This window comes from Homo sapiens, chromosome 8, assembly GCF_000001405.40.
Source record: "Homo sapiens chromosome 8, GRCh38.p14 Primary Assembly".
NCBI lineage: Eukaryota > Metazoa > Chordata > Mammalia > Primates > Hominidae > Homo > Homo sapiens.
In genome coordinates, this window is record NC_000008.11 from 131,842,784 (window position 1) to 131,863,574 (window position 20,791).

General features: G+C 39.7%; 1 long non-coding RNA gene across 1 annotated transcript in view, besides 1 other annotated feature; it reads right to left on the minus strand.

Annotated features, from left to right (window-relative positions):
* Positions 1 to 787: 787 nt before the first annotated feature.
* Positions 788 to 20,791, minus strand: part of LOC107986976 (uncharacterized) — a 41,866-nt gene continuing 21,862 nt past the window's right edge. The window contains exon 3 of the long non-coding RNA XR_001746093.2: positions 788 to 910. This is a non-coding gene — a long non-coding RNA (uncharacterized LOC107986976). The remainder of the gene's footprint in view (positions 911 to 20,791) is intronic.
* Positions 13,829 to 15,028: an enhancer, noted in NCBI's record as "P300/CBP strongly-dependent group 1 enhancer chr8:132868859-132870058 (GRCh37/hg19 assembly coordinates)". NCBI's record gives its function as "activates an origin of replication core promoter dependent on BRD2, BRD4, P300/CBP, MED14 and CDK7 cofactors, with strong dependence on P300/CBP, by STARR-seq in HCT116 cells {active_cell/tissue: HCT116}" and the evidence as "EXISTENCE:reporter gene assay evidence [ECO:0000049][PMID:35650434]".

Sequence of the window (20,791 nt, forward strand, 5' to 3'; positions counted from 1 at the left end):
AATAATAGAAAACTAGTAGCTACAGCTCTATGTTGTGTCTTCCTATTCTCCCATGCTATGTGTTACCCTGTCCACAGATTATAAATGACATTTAACATTTTTCTGTTTTGGGGACTTCTGTTGCCTAGTCAGCTCAATTAAATTTCGTAAAAAGTTATTGAGCAATTCCAATATGCCAGATATTTGCCAGTCCATACAATATAACAATAAATAAAGCAGAAACTCTAGACTGTAGGGTTTTCTAGCTGATTGGAAAGACACGAAAAAGTATTTACCCTGTAGATTGATGAATTTCATAATAGGGTTAAATATAGATGGGAGCACAGAAGGGAGGAACTTTTGTTAGTTCAGGGATCAAAGAAAACTTCCTGAAGGACAGCATGCCCCAGTGAAGTGCTAAAGGACAAATAGACCTTATCAGATGGGTCAGGATAGAGAATGGTGTGGGCAGGAGAGCATCATGAGCCAAGATTCTGAGGCATGCAGATCTGAGGCAAACCGAGCTTTGGTGTTCTTGGGAGAACTCCAAGTAATTGGAGATCATGGGATCATAAGGTGAAGCATTAAAGAAGGGTAGCAGTAGGGGATTGCATCTATTTGTGGCTTCTAAGGCTTATGACCACGTCTTTATATTTAGCTTATTCCCAACTCCAAACCATAAGGATTTGCATCTTCTTTATGGGTTTTGCCAAAAAAAAATTTAACAATCCCAAGTAACCATTACTATTAGTAAAACATTTGTAACAGAGAAAAACTAAGAAATAAACAATTCAGTGGGTTAGTATAATAATCACTTTTGCTCGCTCACCTCAGAATCCAATACAGTAGACAGCGGGCTCTGTTCCACACAGGCATTCATGTATCCAGGATTCATCCATATTGTGGCACAACTATCTTCAATAATTGGTCTCTAAAGTTCCATGAAAGAGCAAGAGAAAGCATGGAGTATTCCAGGGAAAGGAAGATATTTGGTTAGGAATGGCATATCACTTTTGCACACATTCTGGTATTTAGAACTCAGTCACATATCCTCAACCTAATTGTAAGAGAAATTTGGAAACATGGTCTTTCCATGTGCCCTAGAAAAAAAATGAAACCATTTAGTTTAAATATATGGCATTGTCTCAGACATATTTAGGAGCAAGGAAAAACTAGAGTTGACCACTGCCTTTTGTAGTGTTGATCACTGACCCAAAGGATCATAGAAAAAACATGGGGTTACCCCACCATTATATCTTTGTATTGAACACTAAGCCATTTCCTTTTAATAAAATCAGGCTCAACACACCATCCTAGGCATTGAGAATGGCAGATGACTATGTTTTGTGCCTCTGTGTCTGGATCTATATGTGCGAGAGAGAGCTAAACATTTAAATGAGGCCTTGTAAGCTACTAGAGAGAATCAGAGAATGAAGTATGCAGCTTTCTAAGCAAGAAGAGTCTGTGAGTTTTATTAACGAATACTGTAGTCTGAGAACTAGCCCTTAACATTTTCCCTCTGAGTCTATACTTTTAAGGCCATTAGCAATTTTTTCCATATGACAAGACGTCACATTCATAAGAACACTTGGCAACACTGTCTCCTAAGACCATTTCTCATTGGCCATGGTTACAATAGAATCAAATTAAATTTGAGAGGATAAAAGGTACCTTTTTATCTTCCAGGAGCAAATATCTATCTAATAACACAGCCCATGTAACATTTATACATAGATCTAAAACGTTAGCTTCTTGGGAAAAATGATAGAAAATGAGGAAGGTCATTTTGGCTCATTATATAAGATTCTTGCAAAGCTCCACAGACTTTTGAGCTAATCCTACATTTTTTATGTGTATCATTTCAGTGCCTAGCTGTATTTGTAGGGTTGTTTTTTCTAAAGACCTCTCAAAATATCACAAAACATCTTTTTATCAAGATCTAGATGTTATATATGAATATAAAGCAATAGAATAGCTTGTGAAAGGGCATTACATCTCAAGAAATACCTTTATAATGTTGGTTTAGGAATGGTATTAGAATTCATTTTACAGTGGTTATCATTTTGTGTAAGATATTTGGGTTTCCAAACTTCCTTCACTTTCTACCCTCCTCCTTTCACCCTTTGGGTAATTGTAATCATCAGTATTTTCCTAATGAGGATAATGAAAGTCACCTTCTTATAGTGGTGGTATGGGGATCAAATGAGGTAATATGCACATAATCATTTTGTAATAAAATTTTGCATCTGTTATTATCACTTGGTCTTGTCCAGGCAGAAATGGCTCTCTCTCCCCTGCCCTGGGTGCATTTCTTCATGACAGTTTTATTCCCTTAAACTGGAATTCTTTATTATAAAGTCAGGACTCTGGGATAGGTGTAAGTTAGCTTAAGGATAAACTGAATGTATTAGCTCTCAAAATGAAAAGTCTGTGAGACTAGGCTTCAAGCAAAACTAAATTTGGGTGCTCAGATTATATGGTCTCTCTCTTTCACTCCCTCCCTCCTTACTTTTTTCCTTCTTTCCCTCTCTCCTTTTCTCAGTCTCCATCTCTAGTTATGTTTTCTTTAAGAGCTTGGGAGACTATTTCTGATCAAGAGAAAGCCCATCAAGTCTAAGCTTACATGGTCTTCTAGCTACTAATTTCAGAAGGAGAGAAACACACTCAATCAGTGTTTCTTTTGGTTTCCCCATAATAACTTTAATTGGTTTTCCTGGGTGAGTCACTGTGTCCCAGGGGAATGTGAACAGTTGATTAGCCAGCTTAGTCATCCACTCCAGCAGCAGTGGAGTTGGGGATCCCAAACTGACAACCCCAGCAGAATCACATAGACTGGCAAAAGGGTGATTTTCAAAAGGTATGAGGGGCAGACACAAAATGGCAGATATTGTATCATATTCTATTCCATATTAGACTGTGATCTTCTGAGGAGATGCAAGTTGGACAAAACTTAGTAGTGAGCAGATAATAATAACACTTAAAAATATTAGTGGAATAGAAGAATTGTCCATCTCACTTTTGACTAAATGCAAATTAGCATGGCTAATCAAGAAGATAAGTTTGTAAAGCATAAAATGTGTTGGTATTACACATAAGCAACTAAACCTAGATATTACCATAACCTGATAATAATCTCAGAACCTTTCAATTACCTTAGTAGTACAAAGCAAATTTAGTAAGTAAATTGAAAGTATGGAATTTGCATTGAATTCCAATGGAATAATAAATAAGAGGGGGAAAACAAGCAGATTCCTTAAAATCATATTAGATCTCAGCAGTTCAGTTTGTCTTTTTGATCTCAAAACCCAAGGCCAGGTGCACTGGCTCACACCTGCAATCCAGCACTTTAGGGGGCTGAGGTGGGCAGATCCCTTGAGGAGTCTGAGACCAGGCTGGGCACATGGCAAAATCCCATTTCAACAAAAAATACAAAAAAAAAAAAAAAAAAAAAAAGCTGGGCATGGTGGTGTGCACCTGTAGTCCCAGCTGGCCAGGAGGCTGAGGTGGGAGGATCATTTGAGTGCAGGTGGTTGAGGCTGCAGTGAACCTTGATCATGCCACTGTACTCCAGCCTGGGCGACTGAGTGAGATCCTGTCTCGAACAACAACAACAACAACAAAAAGCAATAGTTCTGCTTCTAGTATACAAATGACATCTTCAAGTTGAATTCATTTGAGGTGAACTTATTTGAAGAGGGAGACTAAGAGCAACTTCAGGAGGTCCACCTTTAAGTGGAAATGGACAATTCTGTAAAAGGTTGAGGGCAATATGTGCATTACAAAACACAGGCTTTAGGGGCAAAATGGGGTCACTAATAGAGAGGCATATCAGGTAGACCATGAAAATGAGTTGGACAGAATTAAAGTTAAGAAGAAATTGATGAGGATAAAACCCAATAGGAAGGATAGAAGCATAAGAACTCTCATTCCTAATTAGCAAATGAATACTTCAATTAGAGCCTTGGCTTTATTCTCCTCATCTGAAAGAGTCAAGAGAAATGAGAAGAACTGTAAGAAAATGTTGGACTACACCTTTGAATCTCTTCCTAGTGTTCAAACTTCTAGGACATTATAGTACTCTGTATTCCCCAGAAGTATTTTCAGATCTTTCCATTAAAGATGGATTAAGGTGGGCTAGTCTGTTTTAGATACAAAGCTCCTATTTTGCAGTCATCACTACATACCTTTCAATGGGAGGTTCATACTATCTTCTTATAACCTTATACCCTAGCATCTGTATCCCCATCACTATCATCCACCATCCTCCATGATTCATGTTGTTTACCACCCTGTCTCCGTCAGTAGTGTCAGGCAATTCACATCTACCCTGATGATCTATCTGCTGTGTTGACTTCATGGTCATCTCAATCTCTTCTCAAATAATGTCCTCCTCCTTACCCATTTCATCTAGCCAGTAATGTGCATTTTAATGGGGGTTATTTGTATGTGATACCTAACACCCAAAATAAATGAGTTTTCAGTTCAAACATACTCAATACTAAGGTAGAGACCAGCAGGAAAGATATGTTGAACTTAGGGCATCTTTTAGCATGATCAAATTTATCATCTTACTTTACCACCCTCAATCAGTCATCTATAAATGCTCACCTCATAGACCCAAACATGTAAGCTCTTTTTTACCTTTCTACTTGTCTGCTCATATTATACTTTCAGAATAAATTTAAGACTCATGGGCTCTATAAATTAATATTGTGTTGTTGTGTAACCTTGCCTTCATCTCCCTTTCCAAAACATGAGCTAAATTTAGTCCTAAGATCTATTCTTCATCTTCATTCCTTGCCAACCAGGTAAAAATGAATTGTCACAAGATAAATAAATATGAAAGCAAAATGTTACTTCACATATGGAAATTCAAGGAACCCAGAATAGTAAAACAATTTTGAAAAAAAAAAAAGTTGGAGGACTCACATTTCTCAATTTCAAAACTTATTACAAAGTTACAGTAATCAAGACATTCTGGGAAGGATAAACATATATATTAATAGAATTGGAATGAGAGCACAGGAAGAAATCGTCACATTTATAGTCAATTGATTTTTGACAAGGAAGCCAAGATGACAATTCAGTGGAAGAAAGAATAGTCTTTTTAACAAATGGTACTGGAAAACCTGAACATCACATTCAAAGGAATTAAGTTGAACCCCTACCTTACACCATATACAAAAATTAACTCAATGGATAAATACCTAAATGTAAGAGCTAAAACTATAAAACTCTTTGGAGAAAATAAAAGGTAAGGCTTTATAACCTTAGATTTGGCAGTGGTTTCTTAAATATGATGCTAAGTGAGCAAGCAACAAAACAAAAAATGGATACACTGGATTTCATCAAAAGTAAAAACTTTTGTCCTTCAAAGGACATCATCAAGAAAGTGAAAAGACAATTCACAGAATTAGAGAAATTATTTGCAAATTATACATCTGGTGAAAGGACTTGTATCCAGAATATATAAAGTGCTCTTACAACCCAATAATTAAAAGGCAAATAACCTAATTAAATATTGGAAAAGGAAAAAAGTAACAAAATAAATGGAAAAGGATCTGAACAGAACTTCTCCAAAAAGGATACACAAATGGCCAATAAAGACATGAAAAGATGGTCAGCATTATTTGCCATCAGGAAAATTCAAATCAAAACTACAATGAGATATCACTTCATATCCACTAGGATGGCTAGGATAAAAAAGACAAATAATAAAAAAATGTTGAAAAGGATGTGGAGAGATTAGAACCCTTATATACTGCTTGTGGGAATGTAAAATCATGCGGCCACATTGGAAAACAGTCTGGCAGTTCTTCAAAAGGTTAAACATAGTGTTACCTACCATATGGCCCAGGAATTCCACTCCTACCCAAGAGAAATGAAAATATATGCCCACATAAAAACATGTATATGAATGGTTATAGAAGCTTTACTCATAATAGGTAATAAGTGGGAATAATTCAAATGTCCATCAACTGATGAATAATGACACAAAATGTGGTATATCTATGCAATGGAAAATTATTGTGCCACAAAAAGGAATAAAGTACCGAGACATGCTACAGCATGAATGAATCTTGAAAACATTAGGCAAAGTGAAAGAAGACAATCACAAAGGCCCATATATGGTATAATTACATTTATAAGAATGCCAAGAATAAGCAAATCTATAGAGACACAAAGTAGGGTCAGTTGTTTTCTAGGGCTTGGAGGAAATGGGGAGCAACTGTTAATAGGTACAAGATTTCTTTTAGAAATGATAAAAATGTTCTAAAATTGATGGTGGCAGTTGCATAACTGTGTGACTAGACCAAAAACTATTCAATTATATACCTTAAATGGGTGAATTATATGGCATGTGAATTATATCTCAATAAAGCTGTTATGTAAGAAAAAAACAGTGTCCTGTCATTTTTATTAGCCCAGAGGAAATTGAAAACTATCACAAGTTTATCGAAAATTTGTCTTTTTGATCCTGGCTTAGTAGTCATTTCAGACTACATGGTTTCTTTTTATTGATATTCTATTGGTGAGGTTTGTTGATGCCATAATTATCAGGGTTTGAAATACTTTTAAAAAATCACCAAAATACCCCGGTTTGGGGGTCCTTTTTGCAAAGCTCTTACAAACCTGTCTGTATATGTCATACTGAGTACTCTCTCGATAGATCATTTCTATTACTTGAGAACAGATCTGTAAATTCATTTTCGTTGTAAAGATAACCACTTACTATGATAACACATGGTGGCTTCTTTATTACTTCAAGTATCAAGAGCTGTTTCTCTAGTTTCTACTACTTATATCACTGGACTCTCCCCCTGAAATTTTTATGTTATTTAAGAGCTATTTCTATCAGGGGAAGGTGATGAGAGAATAATGAGTTAAGCTTCCTGGTTCTTGAGTTAGTTGGGAAAGTACAGCTCTTTTCTCTAGAATTTGCCCATCTTGTCTTCCTCACTACTTGCCTTTTGGAAGGAGATTGCGATTCTTCATCCAAGACTTCAACCCTACACCAAATGACTAAGGCACTGTGGCCTAATGTCCAGAAAGCTCCTCCCCACAAATGCAGTCTAGAATAAATCTGATCTCCCTTCACCTCTGAAATTCCTGGAATAAGCCTCATGCTGCCATCTGTCTAGGTCAACAACTTTAACCACTGCCCTTTGATTACTCTTGAGGTGGTAGGTTTATTAAAAAGAAGCTCTGACTTCTCACTCTGACTGAAGGTGTCTAAACAAGAAGCTTGAAATTCTGACTACAATCTATTTAACCACATAACTAACTAGAAATTCTGACTAGATTATTTGACTACATAAACCACCAATGTGTTTGTGGTTGGTTGGGTTGGGGAGTGCTGTAATAACACTGTGGGCATGCATGGTAAGTGGGATAGGCACCAAGCATGTCATCAAGACCAATCCATATCCCATGTGAAAATAGAAAGTATACTTTCAATGTCTTCCATCCTTAGACAAGAGGACATTGAATACCTCTAAGCCCACTTTCTGGCCTCAGACTATGGACAAGGAGACTTTCACTTTCATCTCAGCTACAGAAATGTTGGAGAGAACACATCTAATCTGGTCTGTCTTTATCTTTTACTATGCCCCATAAGAGATTGTGAGATTAGAAAGAGTAAGATATGTTTAAGACCATAGCTATCTATATTCCAACTTTTTCTTTTACCCTCTTTGTTCTTTGTTCTGCCTAAAAATGGGTTGTGAGTCAAAATTAACAATTTTCCATGTACCTGAATACATAATAGGGCAGATGCAATCCAGAAGCAGATCTTAATTTCTCAATTTGTAGGAAAGGAGATAATAGGAGAACTTCACTTTAATCTCAGCTTCTAGCCACAGTATCTAACCCCTTATTAGGGAGTTATCAGCTATATAATTAAGGTTAATGGTGAGATTGTTTGGCTCCTCATATTTTCTCTTTATTGGTTAGAACCCAGAGAAGAGAATGGGTGAGGAATTGGTTCCAAGAAAAGCAGACCCTATGGTGGAGAGTGTCCATGATTACATATGTTCAGGGCTGGAAAAGGCAGGGGCTAATAAAACAAAACACAGTGCATTTCTGTCAACTCAACAAACATGCATCAAGTACCTAAATAAGTAGACAAACAACATAATAAGATTATATCTACCACATTTATTGTAAGATAAATAATTGTAAGAGACATGGCTACAGGGTAAGGAACTTAACTCTTGATACTTTTGGTATACCATCTAGATGACCCTTCCAACACATTGGCCTCTCAGTTCCTTGGAAAATCTCTCTTCCAATGATCTTGTTCCTCATCCTACCTCAGTTACTCAATCCCACGAGCTTATCCTAGACTTCATCATTACCAATAATGGCAACTCTAGTCATTTCATGCCTTCTAATCTCTGGCTACCACCTTCTAATTTCCACTCACTCTCTTAGTAACCTATGACCAAAAATCTCCACTTCATGGATCCTTCCATTGATCCACCCCCCTGATGCTTTCTCTCCTTCCTAAACCAGCTTAAGTGTCACGGTCAATTTGCATTGACCCTTGATGTCCTTGATTCCACTGCCAACTCCTTTACTTCATATTACTCACTAGATAATCCACAACTTAGTTCAAATCAACTCTCCACCCACCCATGCTTGGCATTGAGCAGCATGTCTAGATATAAACACCCAACCACTGCTGACTAATATCAATTTAAATCTATGACTGGGGACTCAAGAGGGCCCTTAACACAGCTCAGTAATTATCTTACACTTCCCTAGTCTATTCACTCTTCCATGTTCCTAAATCCCTATTGTGAAATGTCTCCTCTCTCATCAAATCTTCAATGTTGCCTTTCCTAAATTCATTTTCAATTAATAACTTTGCTTTCTATGTTGAGAAAATGGAAGTAGTCAGATGAGAATCACCACCCCCTCTGACCCATCTGCACTTTCTTATTTGTGCCCACAGATGGACTCTCCACAATCCTAACACCAATTCTTCCTATGTTCTAGATCCCATCTCTCTAACCTATTCAACAACATTGTTCCAACAATTCTCTTCTGTCTCCTACAGTTTCTCCCTCTGTCCTAGACGACTCCCATCAGCATACATACATGTTAATATCACTTTTATTTTTATTTACTTAAAAAAGAGTAAATAAACCTTTTCTAGATCCTATATCTCCTGACAGCTAGTGCTTTATTTGCTTGTTTTCTTTTGTAGAAACTCTCTTTTTTATAAGTTTTATACACTTGCTGCCTCCATTTTCTTTCCTTGCAGTCTCTTTAATCCACTTCCATCAAGTTTTCACATTTACTGCCCATTAGAGGTGTTGTTTTCAAGTTTACACAGAGACACCCACATTATTAAATGTAATGGCTCAGTCTTCAGTCCTCTTCTTACCTGACTCATCAGCTAAATGAACCAACTTTTTTTTTTTTTTTTTTTTTTTGAGATGGAGTCTCACTCTGTTACCCAGGCTGGAGTGCAGTGGCGCAATCTCAGCTTGCTGAAACCTCTGCCTCCCAAGTTCAAGCAATCCTCCTACCTCAGCCTCCCGAGTAGCTGGGACTACAGGCACGCACCACCACGCCCAGTTAATTTCTGTATTGTTAGTAGAGACAGGGTTTTGCCATGTTGGTCAGGCTGGTCTCGAACTCCTGACCTCAGGTGATCCACCCACCTCAGCCTCCCAAAGTACTGGGATGACAAGCGTGAGCCACTGCGCCCGGCCTGAACCAACTTTTGACACAACTGGTTTACTTCTTTCTTCTTGATCTTGATGCTTGCTTCTTTCTTCATTTGGCTTTCAGGATATCACACTCTGTGCTGATGAACAACTTCTTTACAGTCTTCTTTGCTTGTCGCTCCCAACTTCTTCTTACTGCAGTGTCCTTGTGCTTGGAGTTTGACATCCTTCTCTCCTCTATATAGACCCCTCCTATGGTGATCTCATCCTATCTCGTGGCTTTCGATGCCAGCTGTTTCCCAATAACTCACAAGTTCATGTACCCAGCCTAGACTTCTCTTCTAAACACTAGACTTACATATTCAACTTCAAATTTGCACTGACTTGTCTAATGCATTTATCAAACACATGTCCAAAACTCAATTCCTAATCTTTCCCACTCTCCCTAAATAGTTTGCTCCCACATAGTGTAAACTAGTTCAACCATTGTGGAAGACAGTGTGGTGATTCCTCAAGGATCTAGAACCAGAAATACCATTTGACCCAGCAATCCCATTACTGGTTATATACCCAAAGGATTATAAATCATTCTACTGTAAAGACACCTGCATACGTATGCTTATTGCAGCACTATTCACAGTAGCAAAGACTTGGAATCAACCGAAATGCCCATCAATGATATACTGGATAAAGAAAATGTGGCACATGGAATACTATGCAGCAATAAAAAGGATGAGTTCATGTCCTTTGCAGGGACATGGATGAAGCTGGAAACCATCATTCTCAGCAAACTAACACAGGAACAGAAAAACAAACACCACATGTTCTCACTCATAAGTGGGAGTTGAACAATGAGAACACATGGACACAGGAAGGGGAACATCACACACTGGGTCCTGTCGGGGGTTCAGGGACTAGGGGAGGGATAACATTATGAGAAATATCTGATGTAGACAACAGGTTGATGGGTAGAGCAAACCACCATGACACGTGTATACCTATGTAACAAACCTGCATGTTCTGCACAAGTATCCCAAAACTTAAAGTATAATTTTAAAAAAAGAAAAAAGTTTGCTCCCACATATAGCCCCTTTTATCTCAACCAATGGCAACTCCATTATTCCAGTTTCTCAGACAAATAACATTGAGGTTGCTCATGACACCTTTCTTTTGCTCTCATATGACATCCAATGTCAGTAAATCCTATTAACTCTGCCTTCAGAGTATATCTAATATCTTATCACTTCTCACCAACTTCACTGCTACCATTCTGGTCTGTGCCACCATTTTCACATATCTAGATGGCTGTAATAGCCTCCCGAAATGGTTTGGATATATGTCCCCGCCCAAATCTCATGTTGAACTATCAGAGATGGGGCCTGGTAGGGGGTGATTGGATCATGGAGGAGGATTTCTCATGAATAGCTTAGCACTATCCCCCTTAGAATTGTCTTCACAGTTGTGAGTGAGTTCTCCTAAGATCTGGTTGTTTAAGTTTTAGGGTACATGTGCACAATGTGCAGGTTTGTTACATATGTATACATGTGCCATGTTGGTGTGCTGCACCCATTAACTCATCATTTACATTAGGTATATCTCCTAATGCTATCCCTCCCCACTTCCCCCACCCCACAACAGGCCCCAGTGTGTGATGTTCCCCTTCCTGTGTCCATATGTTCTCATTGTCCATATGATCTCCCAAGATCTGGAGGTGTGTAGCTCCTCCACCCTCTCTCTCTTGCTTCTGCTCCTCCCACATAAGACATTTCTGCCCTGGCTTCACCTTCCACCATGATTGTCAGTGCATTCCGAGGCCTCTCCAGAAGCTGAGCAGATGCCAGCATTATGCCTCCTGAATAAACCTCTTTTCATTGTAAATTATCCAGTCTCAGGTATTTCTTTATAGCAACGTGATAATGGACTAATATATCTCCTAACTCATCTCCCTTTTTCTACACTTGATGCCCTAGAGTCTGTTCTCAACATGGGAAACAGAGGGATTTTGTAAAACATATTAAGTCAGATTTCAGATTAAATCTCTCCTATGCTCAAAAATCTCTTCTGGATCCCAATTTTAGAACTCCTAGTATTCTTTACTATAGCATTCTACAGGTCATACATGGTCTGGGCCTCTGTCACTTTCTTGATCTTGTTTCCTATTTACTCTCATTTTTATTCTTTCTATTCCAGTCCCCACAGACTTTTTGCCCCTCTTTAAATATGCCAGACCTACTCTCACCTTGGCCTTTGTACCAGCTGTTCCCTCTATCTGGATTTTTCACCTCCATACAACTGTGTGGCTCAGATTCTCATTTCCTGGATGTCTTCACTGCAATGCCTCCTTCTTTTTTTAAATTTCAACTTTTATCTTAGATACAGTAGGTACCTGTGCTGGTTAGTTACACGAGTATATTATACCCAGGTAATGAGTCTAATACCCAATAGATGGCTTTTCAAGCCCACTCTCTCTAGTAGTCCACAGTGTCCATTATTCCCATGTTTATGTGCATGTGTGCTCAATGTTTAGCTCCTATTTAAAAGTCAGAGCATAGAGTATTTGGTTTTCTATTATTATGTTAGTTTTCTTAGGATTATGGACTCCATCTGCATCCATGTTGCTGCAAAGGCTGTGGTTTCATTCTTTTTATGGCTGTGTAGTATTCCATGGTGTATATTTACCACATTATTTTAATACAATCTACCACTGATTGGCACTAGGTTGAATCTATGCCTGCTATTGTGAAGGGTGTGGCAATGAACATACAAGTGATATGTCTTTTTGGTATAATAATCTAGTTTCCTTTGGGTATATACCCAGTAATGGGATGGCTGCATCACATGGTAGCTCCATTTTAAGTTCTTTGAGAAATCTCCAAACTGCATTCAATAGTGGCTGAACTAAATTACATGCTCACCAACAGTCTATTAACATTCCCATTTCTCCACAGCCTCACCAGCCTCTGTTGTTTTTTAACTTTTTAATAATAGCCATTCCGACTGGTGTGAGATGATACCTACCTCATTGCAATGCCAGCTTCTTAATGAGGCCTACCCTGGCCACTGTTTAAAATGACACCCGATGTTTTTTTTTTTTTTTTGGTTTTTTGTCCTTGCGATAGTTTGCTGAGACTAAAAAACCAAACACCGCATGTTCTCACTCATAGGTGGGAATTGAACAATGAGAACACATGGACACAGAAAGGGGAACATCACACACCGGGGCCTGTTGTGGGGTGGGGGGAGGGGGGAGGGATAGCATTAGGAGATATACCTAATGTAAATGATGAGTTAATGGGTGCAGCACACCAACATGGCACATGTATACATATGTAACAAACCTGCACGTTGTGCACATGTACCCTAAAACTTAAAGTATAATAAAATAAATAAATAAATAAAATGACATCTGAGCCCTTCACATTTTCTATTCTCTCGCCGTGCTCTACATTTCCTTACTTTTCTGTAGCACTATCACCTTGTACTTTGTAAAATTTACTTATTATGCTTATTGTTTAATTTCTCTCTCACTGGAACATAAGCTCCAAAAAAAAAATAATAAATTTGGTATGTTTTGTTCACTGATGTATCCTAGGAACTTAAAACTGTGTGTGGCATACATTTGGTACTTAATAAACATTTGTTGAATGCAAGATTTGTGCATGCATTGTATTGTTGAATGCAAGAATGAAATCACAAGGGCATGAATGAAAAATAGATAGGAATTTATGTGTAATGAGAACAGCAGTGAGGCAGAAGCCTATGAAGAAAAGTGTCAAGTGAGAAATGCCTGCGAGTAGGAAAGCCAAAGGACTTTTAAAAATAAGGGTATGTAAAATAAAATGTGGTTTGGTTTGCATCACTACACTGTAGTTCTTTCTCTGGTGGTGTTTTTTAAAAACATCCACAAATTATTTAACACTTCTCTTATTGAGAGGTGGGAGCCTATGTTCCCTCTCCTTGAATAAATACTCCCCATCAATACAAATAGCAGAAGTGAGGCTGTGAGACTTTCGAGGCTGAGTGAAAAAAGATCGTTCAGTGGCCAGGCGCAGTGGCTCATGCCCGTAATCCAGCACTTTGGGAGGCCGAGGCAGGTGGATCACCTGTGGTCAGGAGTTCGAGACCAGCCTGGCCAACATGGCGAAACCCCTGTCTCTACCAAATACAAAGTATTAGCCGGGTGCAGTGGCACATGCCTATAATCCCAGCTACTTGGGAGGCTGAGGCTGGAGAATCACTTGAACTCAGGAGGCAGAGGTTGCAGCAAGCCGAGGTTGCGCCATTGCACTCCAGTGCAGACAACAAGAGCAAAACTCTGTCTCACCAAAAAAAAAAAAACAAAAAACATTGTGCAGCTTCTCACTGGTCGTCCCGAATGCTTGCTTGGGAGACACTGGCTCTTGGAATCCAGGCACCACGCTGTGAGAAGCACAAGTCACCCTGAGAGCCCATGGGTAGGCGTCCAGTTGGCAGTCCAAGCTGGGCGCAAGCCTCTGAGTCACACATGTGAGTGGAGACTCATCCAGATGATTCAGCCTTCTGCTGACTGAGTCATCTCCTGTGAAGGCCCCAGATAGCTAGTAGGAGAGCTGCCATGGCCTCAGTGCACTGTTTGAATTCTTGACCAAAAAACAAAATGAAAAAAAAGTGTGCTTAATAAAGTGATTGTCTTTTTATATCACTAATTTCCATGTGGAGTTTTTAAATGTGGTGATAATAACTGGAATAATAATCTCCATCCTCCAAAGTCACACATATGACCTGCGAGATGAAGTTATATGTTTGTGGAACTCTAGATCAGCATAGGGCAGACAGTAAAGGGCAAACACAGAAAGTGAAACTCTGATTTAGAGACCAGCCATCTGGCAGGAACAAAAACTCAGAGGTAGAAGCGGCTGAGCAAAAGGTCTCCAGAAAATCTAGGGAAAGCAGACAACTGACCACAGATTGTCAGATGGAGACTTGAGATAACTTATACCAGATGACTTAAACCTGAGTCTCGGGGGGGAAGTAGAGGACTTTGCATGTTAATTTGCCTGTTGATTACCAACTAGGATCTAAAATGTAGGATGTCAGCTGTAGGCATCAGTATCCTAGAATTGTATCTATCAGCTGACCTTGTGTCTTGAATTTGAAATCCGGATTTTTTTTCCCAACTCTTCTCTCTCCTTCAGCCCCACATCTAATACTGGAAGCCGGGAGATTAGACGTAATTAAGTGAGTGACTTTGGACCCAGCTCTCTGGTTTTGATTCACAACAACTCCACTTTCTAGCTGTGAATTCTTGGGAAATTTGTGTAACTTCTCCAACATTCTGCTTCCACATCTGTAAGTGGAGATTATAAAAGTGCTAACTTATGGGATATTCCAAGGATTATATAAACTAACATGAGGAAAGCACTTTAAGAAGTGTCTGGGACACAGTAATTCCTCAATAAATTCTAGCTATTCACCTTATCCGTGATCAAACTTCGTTAGCCACCCTTGTCAACAGTCTTTTAAATGTGCCTCCACTGTTCCGTCTACACCTTCTTATTTCCTTCTTTCTTCTCCTTCTCCATCCTACTCTCCAGAAATGCTCCTGTATTATCCGTCTATAAAACAGGTCACCAGCCAAGGTAAAAATAACCAATGACTCCTCATCACTTTAGAATACCACAAAGACCTTCCCAGTGTTACCACCCCAACCTCATCACTATGATGCCTGTAGCCTTTTTTCTTGTAACTGCCTTTTTTTCCCACAAATGTGTTACCTTCAGCAGCAATGACCTTTGCCTGCACTTTCCTCATTCTCTAATGTGGTCATTTATGAAGGAATGTTCTTGGCAAGGCACACTGAAATCTTTATGAGAACCCACTGACAGAGACCTTAATTCTAAGAATTTTTTTCTGCTTCATTCTGAAGTAAAAGGTGGGTAAAGGAATGTAAGTGAGCTCACATCAGGGAAACTCCTTTTAATAAATGATTTTCAGTTTCTTCTCTAAGAGCACTTTAGGTTAAACAGTTCCCTAACTACTGCAGGGCTGCGCTGGCCACTCTTTCCCTTCTACTTCCCAGCATACGGCCAGGAAAAACAAACGCCCATCTGAAGCTCAGCAATTGCACCCATTCCTCTAATTCTCTGGAGGGGAAGAGATAGGAAAGAGGGAAAAACAATTCAACAAAAGTAATCATGATAATGAGAAAACTTTTAATATTATAATTATTGGTGCACGTTTGTCTTTCTACCTGAACCTCCCTGCCACCCACCCAAATAGTGCAGGCACACACATGCACACCCATCGTGTGATATTATCACCCCCTGACACACTAAGTATTTGTGCTGCTGTTGTTTACTGTCTGTCCCCTCCTCCTCATGTCACAAAATGCAAAACCCCCTATAGGAGACTTAGGTTTTTGTTCACTGTTACATATCAGTACATAGTAGTAGCAGCACATAGTAGGTTCTCAACAAATATTTGATGAATGAATAAACGATGAGTGAGTGAATATTGGAAAGAACTCACTAAAATTATAATCAGTAAAAGTTTTGTTACTTCTTAACTTCACAGCCTTAAGTGGGGTGTTAAACCCAGATGGGTCTCAGTATTCTCATCTGTAAAAAGGCACAACAAGGATTTTAGAAGGAAAAGTCACAGAAGAAAGAAACCACTCTACCCATGTCTCAAGGATCAGTTACACACCATCACCCCTATGAAAGATTTGCCCGTCTCTCCAGATAGCATCTGGCATTCACTCTTCTAGATTCCCTCTACACTTTCTACATATGTTTACTGCAGTTGATTACTAAGGTCCAATAATGTGCTCTAGAGAAGAACAGAGTTTAAAGACATTGAGTAGAGACTCCGTCTGGAAAACTAACAAGGGCTAGAGGTAAAAACTGGAATTAAACCAGGGGCATTATAAGGACTCTGACAAAAATAAGAAACTTCACAAGAATAAAGGAAAATACAAAAGGCAATAAGAAGGAAACAATGATAAATGTGCCCTGACTTCTACAAAATCAGGAAATTATCAGCATGGAGTTAGCAGGTATTTTTAGAGCAAGGAGGTTATGTGCTCAGGGCAACCGACAGTTCCATAGACATTAGATCTCCCTGGAAAGGGCCATACCGACATCGTTCATTGTGTCGAGATAAGGAGGAGATGCCCATTTGTCAGTGAGTCACCTTCGTCCCAGCAGAAATGCTTACACTTACAAAGTGAACAAACTAGATGCGATATTGGAGGTAGATCTCAGGACTTAACACAGTGCTGAATAAGAGGGGCCAGATACATGGTCATTGATGTCATAGATGAAGAGGAACAGTGCCACCCAGTGTTCTGAAGATTGCTCCTGTCCACATTTAATGTTTTTCATGACTGAAAGAATTTTAGAATTTATTTCTGTTAAAACATGCTTTGAGCTAAAGTACAGCCGGTTGATTCATTCCCAAGTACAAATGTTGCAGTCACTCATTTCGTGCTTTGAGAGAGGGAGGATAAATTACGGAAGAAAAAAAAGGGGTTGTTGTGAGGTCCCAATAATGCATGAGGATACAGCCCTGCTGAAACTGCAAGAGAAGGCAATCAACACAGAGAACCGGTCTCAAAGATGTCTGCTTTGTAGAGGGCTGTCAATTGATGGGCAAGGACAAACAGAAGGTATGCACTAAAGTGATTATGCCAAAGCAAAGACAGCACAGGGGGAAGCTATGCCACAAATCCACAGTAGAAATGAATGTCACCATCTGTGGGAACAGAGAAGGGTGAAACTAATTTTCCATGTACAAGAGGAAGATTAAGATGCTGGACCACTGGGGTCCTAACCCCAGCTACCATTTCCTCACTGCAGGTCTTAAGAAAAGCTACCTTAAATCTCTCTGAATCTCGGCTTCCCCTGTGAAAATGGGGTTGGTAATAACGACCACACCACATTGCAAGAAAGATTATATAACTTAATGTATTTGAAAGAGCCTAACACAACACCTAGGACCTACAAATATTCACCAAATGTGGCTTACCGTTAAAGAAAAGACTTCAGGAAAGGTTTCATTGGAAAAGTAACTTCTGAACTAGATCCCAAAGAACTAGCACTTCCGTTTTCTTCACTGAAGAATTCTTACCCTCTTTAATTGAGGGAATAGTTCAAACCCCCGGGACTAAGATTTTTTGACAGATGTATATAGAGCAGTAAGGACTGAGGCAGCCTAGCCCTCCAGCCAGCCAGATCAAGTGACTCATTCCAAGGGGTCAGTGGGTGATGGCTGTCACAGACAGATCACCCAGACATCCCAAAGAATGTGCAAGTTATCAACGTAGAGAAAGACTGAAAATGGAACAAACTCCCTATTCCCGAACACCCTTTTCTGCAAAGCTGAGGCTCTTTCCCTGAAGGCTCATAAGCTGTGACTGAAAATTGCAGGTCAGGGAGGTATTTGTTAAAGATGGCAAGAAACGTTATTCTTGTAAACTTATGAGGGTGATCTGCTCCTTTTCAGCTTCTAATGAATTCAGAAGGCTTTGTCCTTGGAGAAGATTAGGCTCATTCTATTCTGAAAATACCAATTCCCAGAAATGCCTATGTTTTCCTGGTTGGTGAGCAACACATATTTAAATATTTCTCAGCCCTAACACTGAAATTTACAGATTCCTCCAAGTCCTGATCAACAATCACAGCAACACTTCAGGTGAGAGGAAACAGATATCTATTGTAAAAATGAAAAGGCTTCTTTCCCCACACATAGCTAAGTGGAAGCAAACGCTTCTGTGCATCCTGATGCTTTGCTTACAGCACCACCTAATGTTCTGGATCAAATCCTTTCCTATGCAGGAGAGATCTTTTAGGACTCAGAAAATTCATGCTCTTTTACCTTGCATTTGGCAATCACAATAAAGTGGAGATCAGCATTGCACAAGGCAACAGAAGTGAAAGTGACACACTCCAACCTAAGAGGCATTTTTTCTTCTATTTAGAAGGGCAGGAAGAGACATCAGAGCAGGGGAATAAAGTTGTGACTATGTGAAAATTAGATGTAATTCAATATGAAAATAATAATTGAATGCCTACTGTAGGCCTAGCATTGCGAGGTCTTGATGGTATTGTAGTGCTAAAGAGGGCACAATTTTTGCCTTCAAAGAGCTAATTTCAAAATAGGCAATTAAAATACAGAGTGATTAAGTATGTGACCAAGTTATAAAGAGGGTCGTAAGGATACTAAGGGGAAGACACGCCTATGAAAGTCTAGAATCGAGCCAGAGGAGCCCATGTTGAATCTTTAAACAGCTAGCCAGATAAAGGCAAAAAGAGGAAAGAGATGAATTGCTCAGGCTGTGGGGCTTAGAAGATATAAACAAGGGTGTCAACCAAATCTGGGGGTCACCCAAGAGCTGCTTACTTCACTGATGGGATGGCTCCCCAGTTGCATCGCTTGTATGACATCTCCCCAAGCCCTGCTCACGGCTGAATGGGCACACTTACCCAACCGGAGCTGGTAAATTTAGAACTGAGACAAGGCAGTCTCTCAGTGGGAAGAAAGTGACATGAAACCTAAGGAGCTGTATGCAGTAGACATGCAGATCTGATAAAGCAGCAGAGAGAAATAAATGCTGCAGGAGAAAAATATAGTTTACCTACTTTTCACCACTCTTCATTACCAGCATCTCTCTCCTGGATTATTGTAAGGGCATCCTAATAGGAGTCCCCGGCTTCTGCCCTTCACCCTCTCAGTCGGTTTTATAAGTACACATAGCAGTCGGGGTGATTCAGTTCCCACTTTAATCAGATCAGGCCACTCACTTCTCTCCTCATCTGTTAGCTTTTGATCTCAGAGTAGAAGCCAAAGCACTTATATTAGTCCACAAAAACCAATATGCTCCCCCTCGTGATCACCATTATTTCCCTGATCTAATCCCCTGTTAACTCATCTTCCTTGTCTTGCCCTGGGCTCCCATCTCCCTGGCCCCCTTGCATTTGTTGGGACTTGGACTTGCTGCCCCAGGACCTTTGCTTGGACTTGGACTTGCTGCCCTAGGACCTTTGCTCGGACTTGGACTGGCTGCCTCTGGACCTTTGCACTTGCTGTTCCCTTGGCCTGGACTCTCTCCCTCCAGACAGCCACATAACTCACTGCCTCCTTTAGGACGTGCTCAAATGTCAACTTTTTAGTGAGGTCTTTCTTGATGACCCAATTAAAAATTAAAACACTCGGCCGGGCGCGGTGGCTCATGCCTGTAATCCCAGTGCTTTGGGAGGCCAAGGTGGACAGATCACCTGATGTCGGGAGTTCAAGACCAGCCTGACCAACCTGGAGAAATCCCGTCTCTACTAAAAATACTGGGCATGGTGGCACATGCCTGTAATCCCAGCTACTCCGGAGGTTGAGGAGGGAGGATAGCTTGAACCTGGGAGGCGGAGGTTGTGGTGAGCTCAGATTGCGCCATTGCACTCCAGCCTGGGTAACAAGAGTGAAACTTTGTCTCAAAGAAAAAAATAAAAACACTCTACAACATTTCTTACCCCATTCCTGCTGTATCCTTCTCCATAGAATTTATCGTTATCCAACATACTGTATATTTTCATTATTTATTTCACTTATTGTCTGTCTTAGACCCTATTGTGACCCCCACTCTCATTAGAATATAGGAAAGATACTTTAATTAATTACCTAACTAACTAATTAATGAATGGAGTGGGTCCCTAGTGCCTTCCTACCTCCTGATCTTGATCTCTTTCCAACCCTACACATGCCCATCACTGAATTCAGGGAAATACTCCTGCATCCTTTTATGAAATTCTTCTCTTGTGGCTTAAGGCTTTAAAACATCTTTAGTGCATGTTTCTTACAGATTTTGAAGCTGAATGCTAACTGATACAATGGGAAGACAGCCCCTAAACTTGCTCTGTCTGTTGTTACATTCCCAGGTATCCTTAAGGCTTGCTTTGTTTCTTCCCTTAGGTCTCTGCATAAGTATCTCTGCATCATTGATCCCTTCTCGGACCACCTTATCTAAAATAGCACACTGCTCTCCCCATCACACTCTATGCCTATCCATACTTTATTTTCTTCATAGTACATACGTCTAGCCTAATATATATTGATTTATTCATGGTCTAGCCTTCTCACTGGAATGCAAACCCAGAACAGGAACTTCA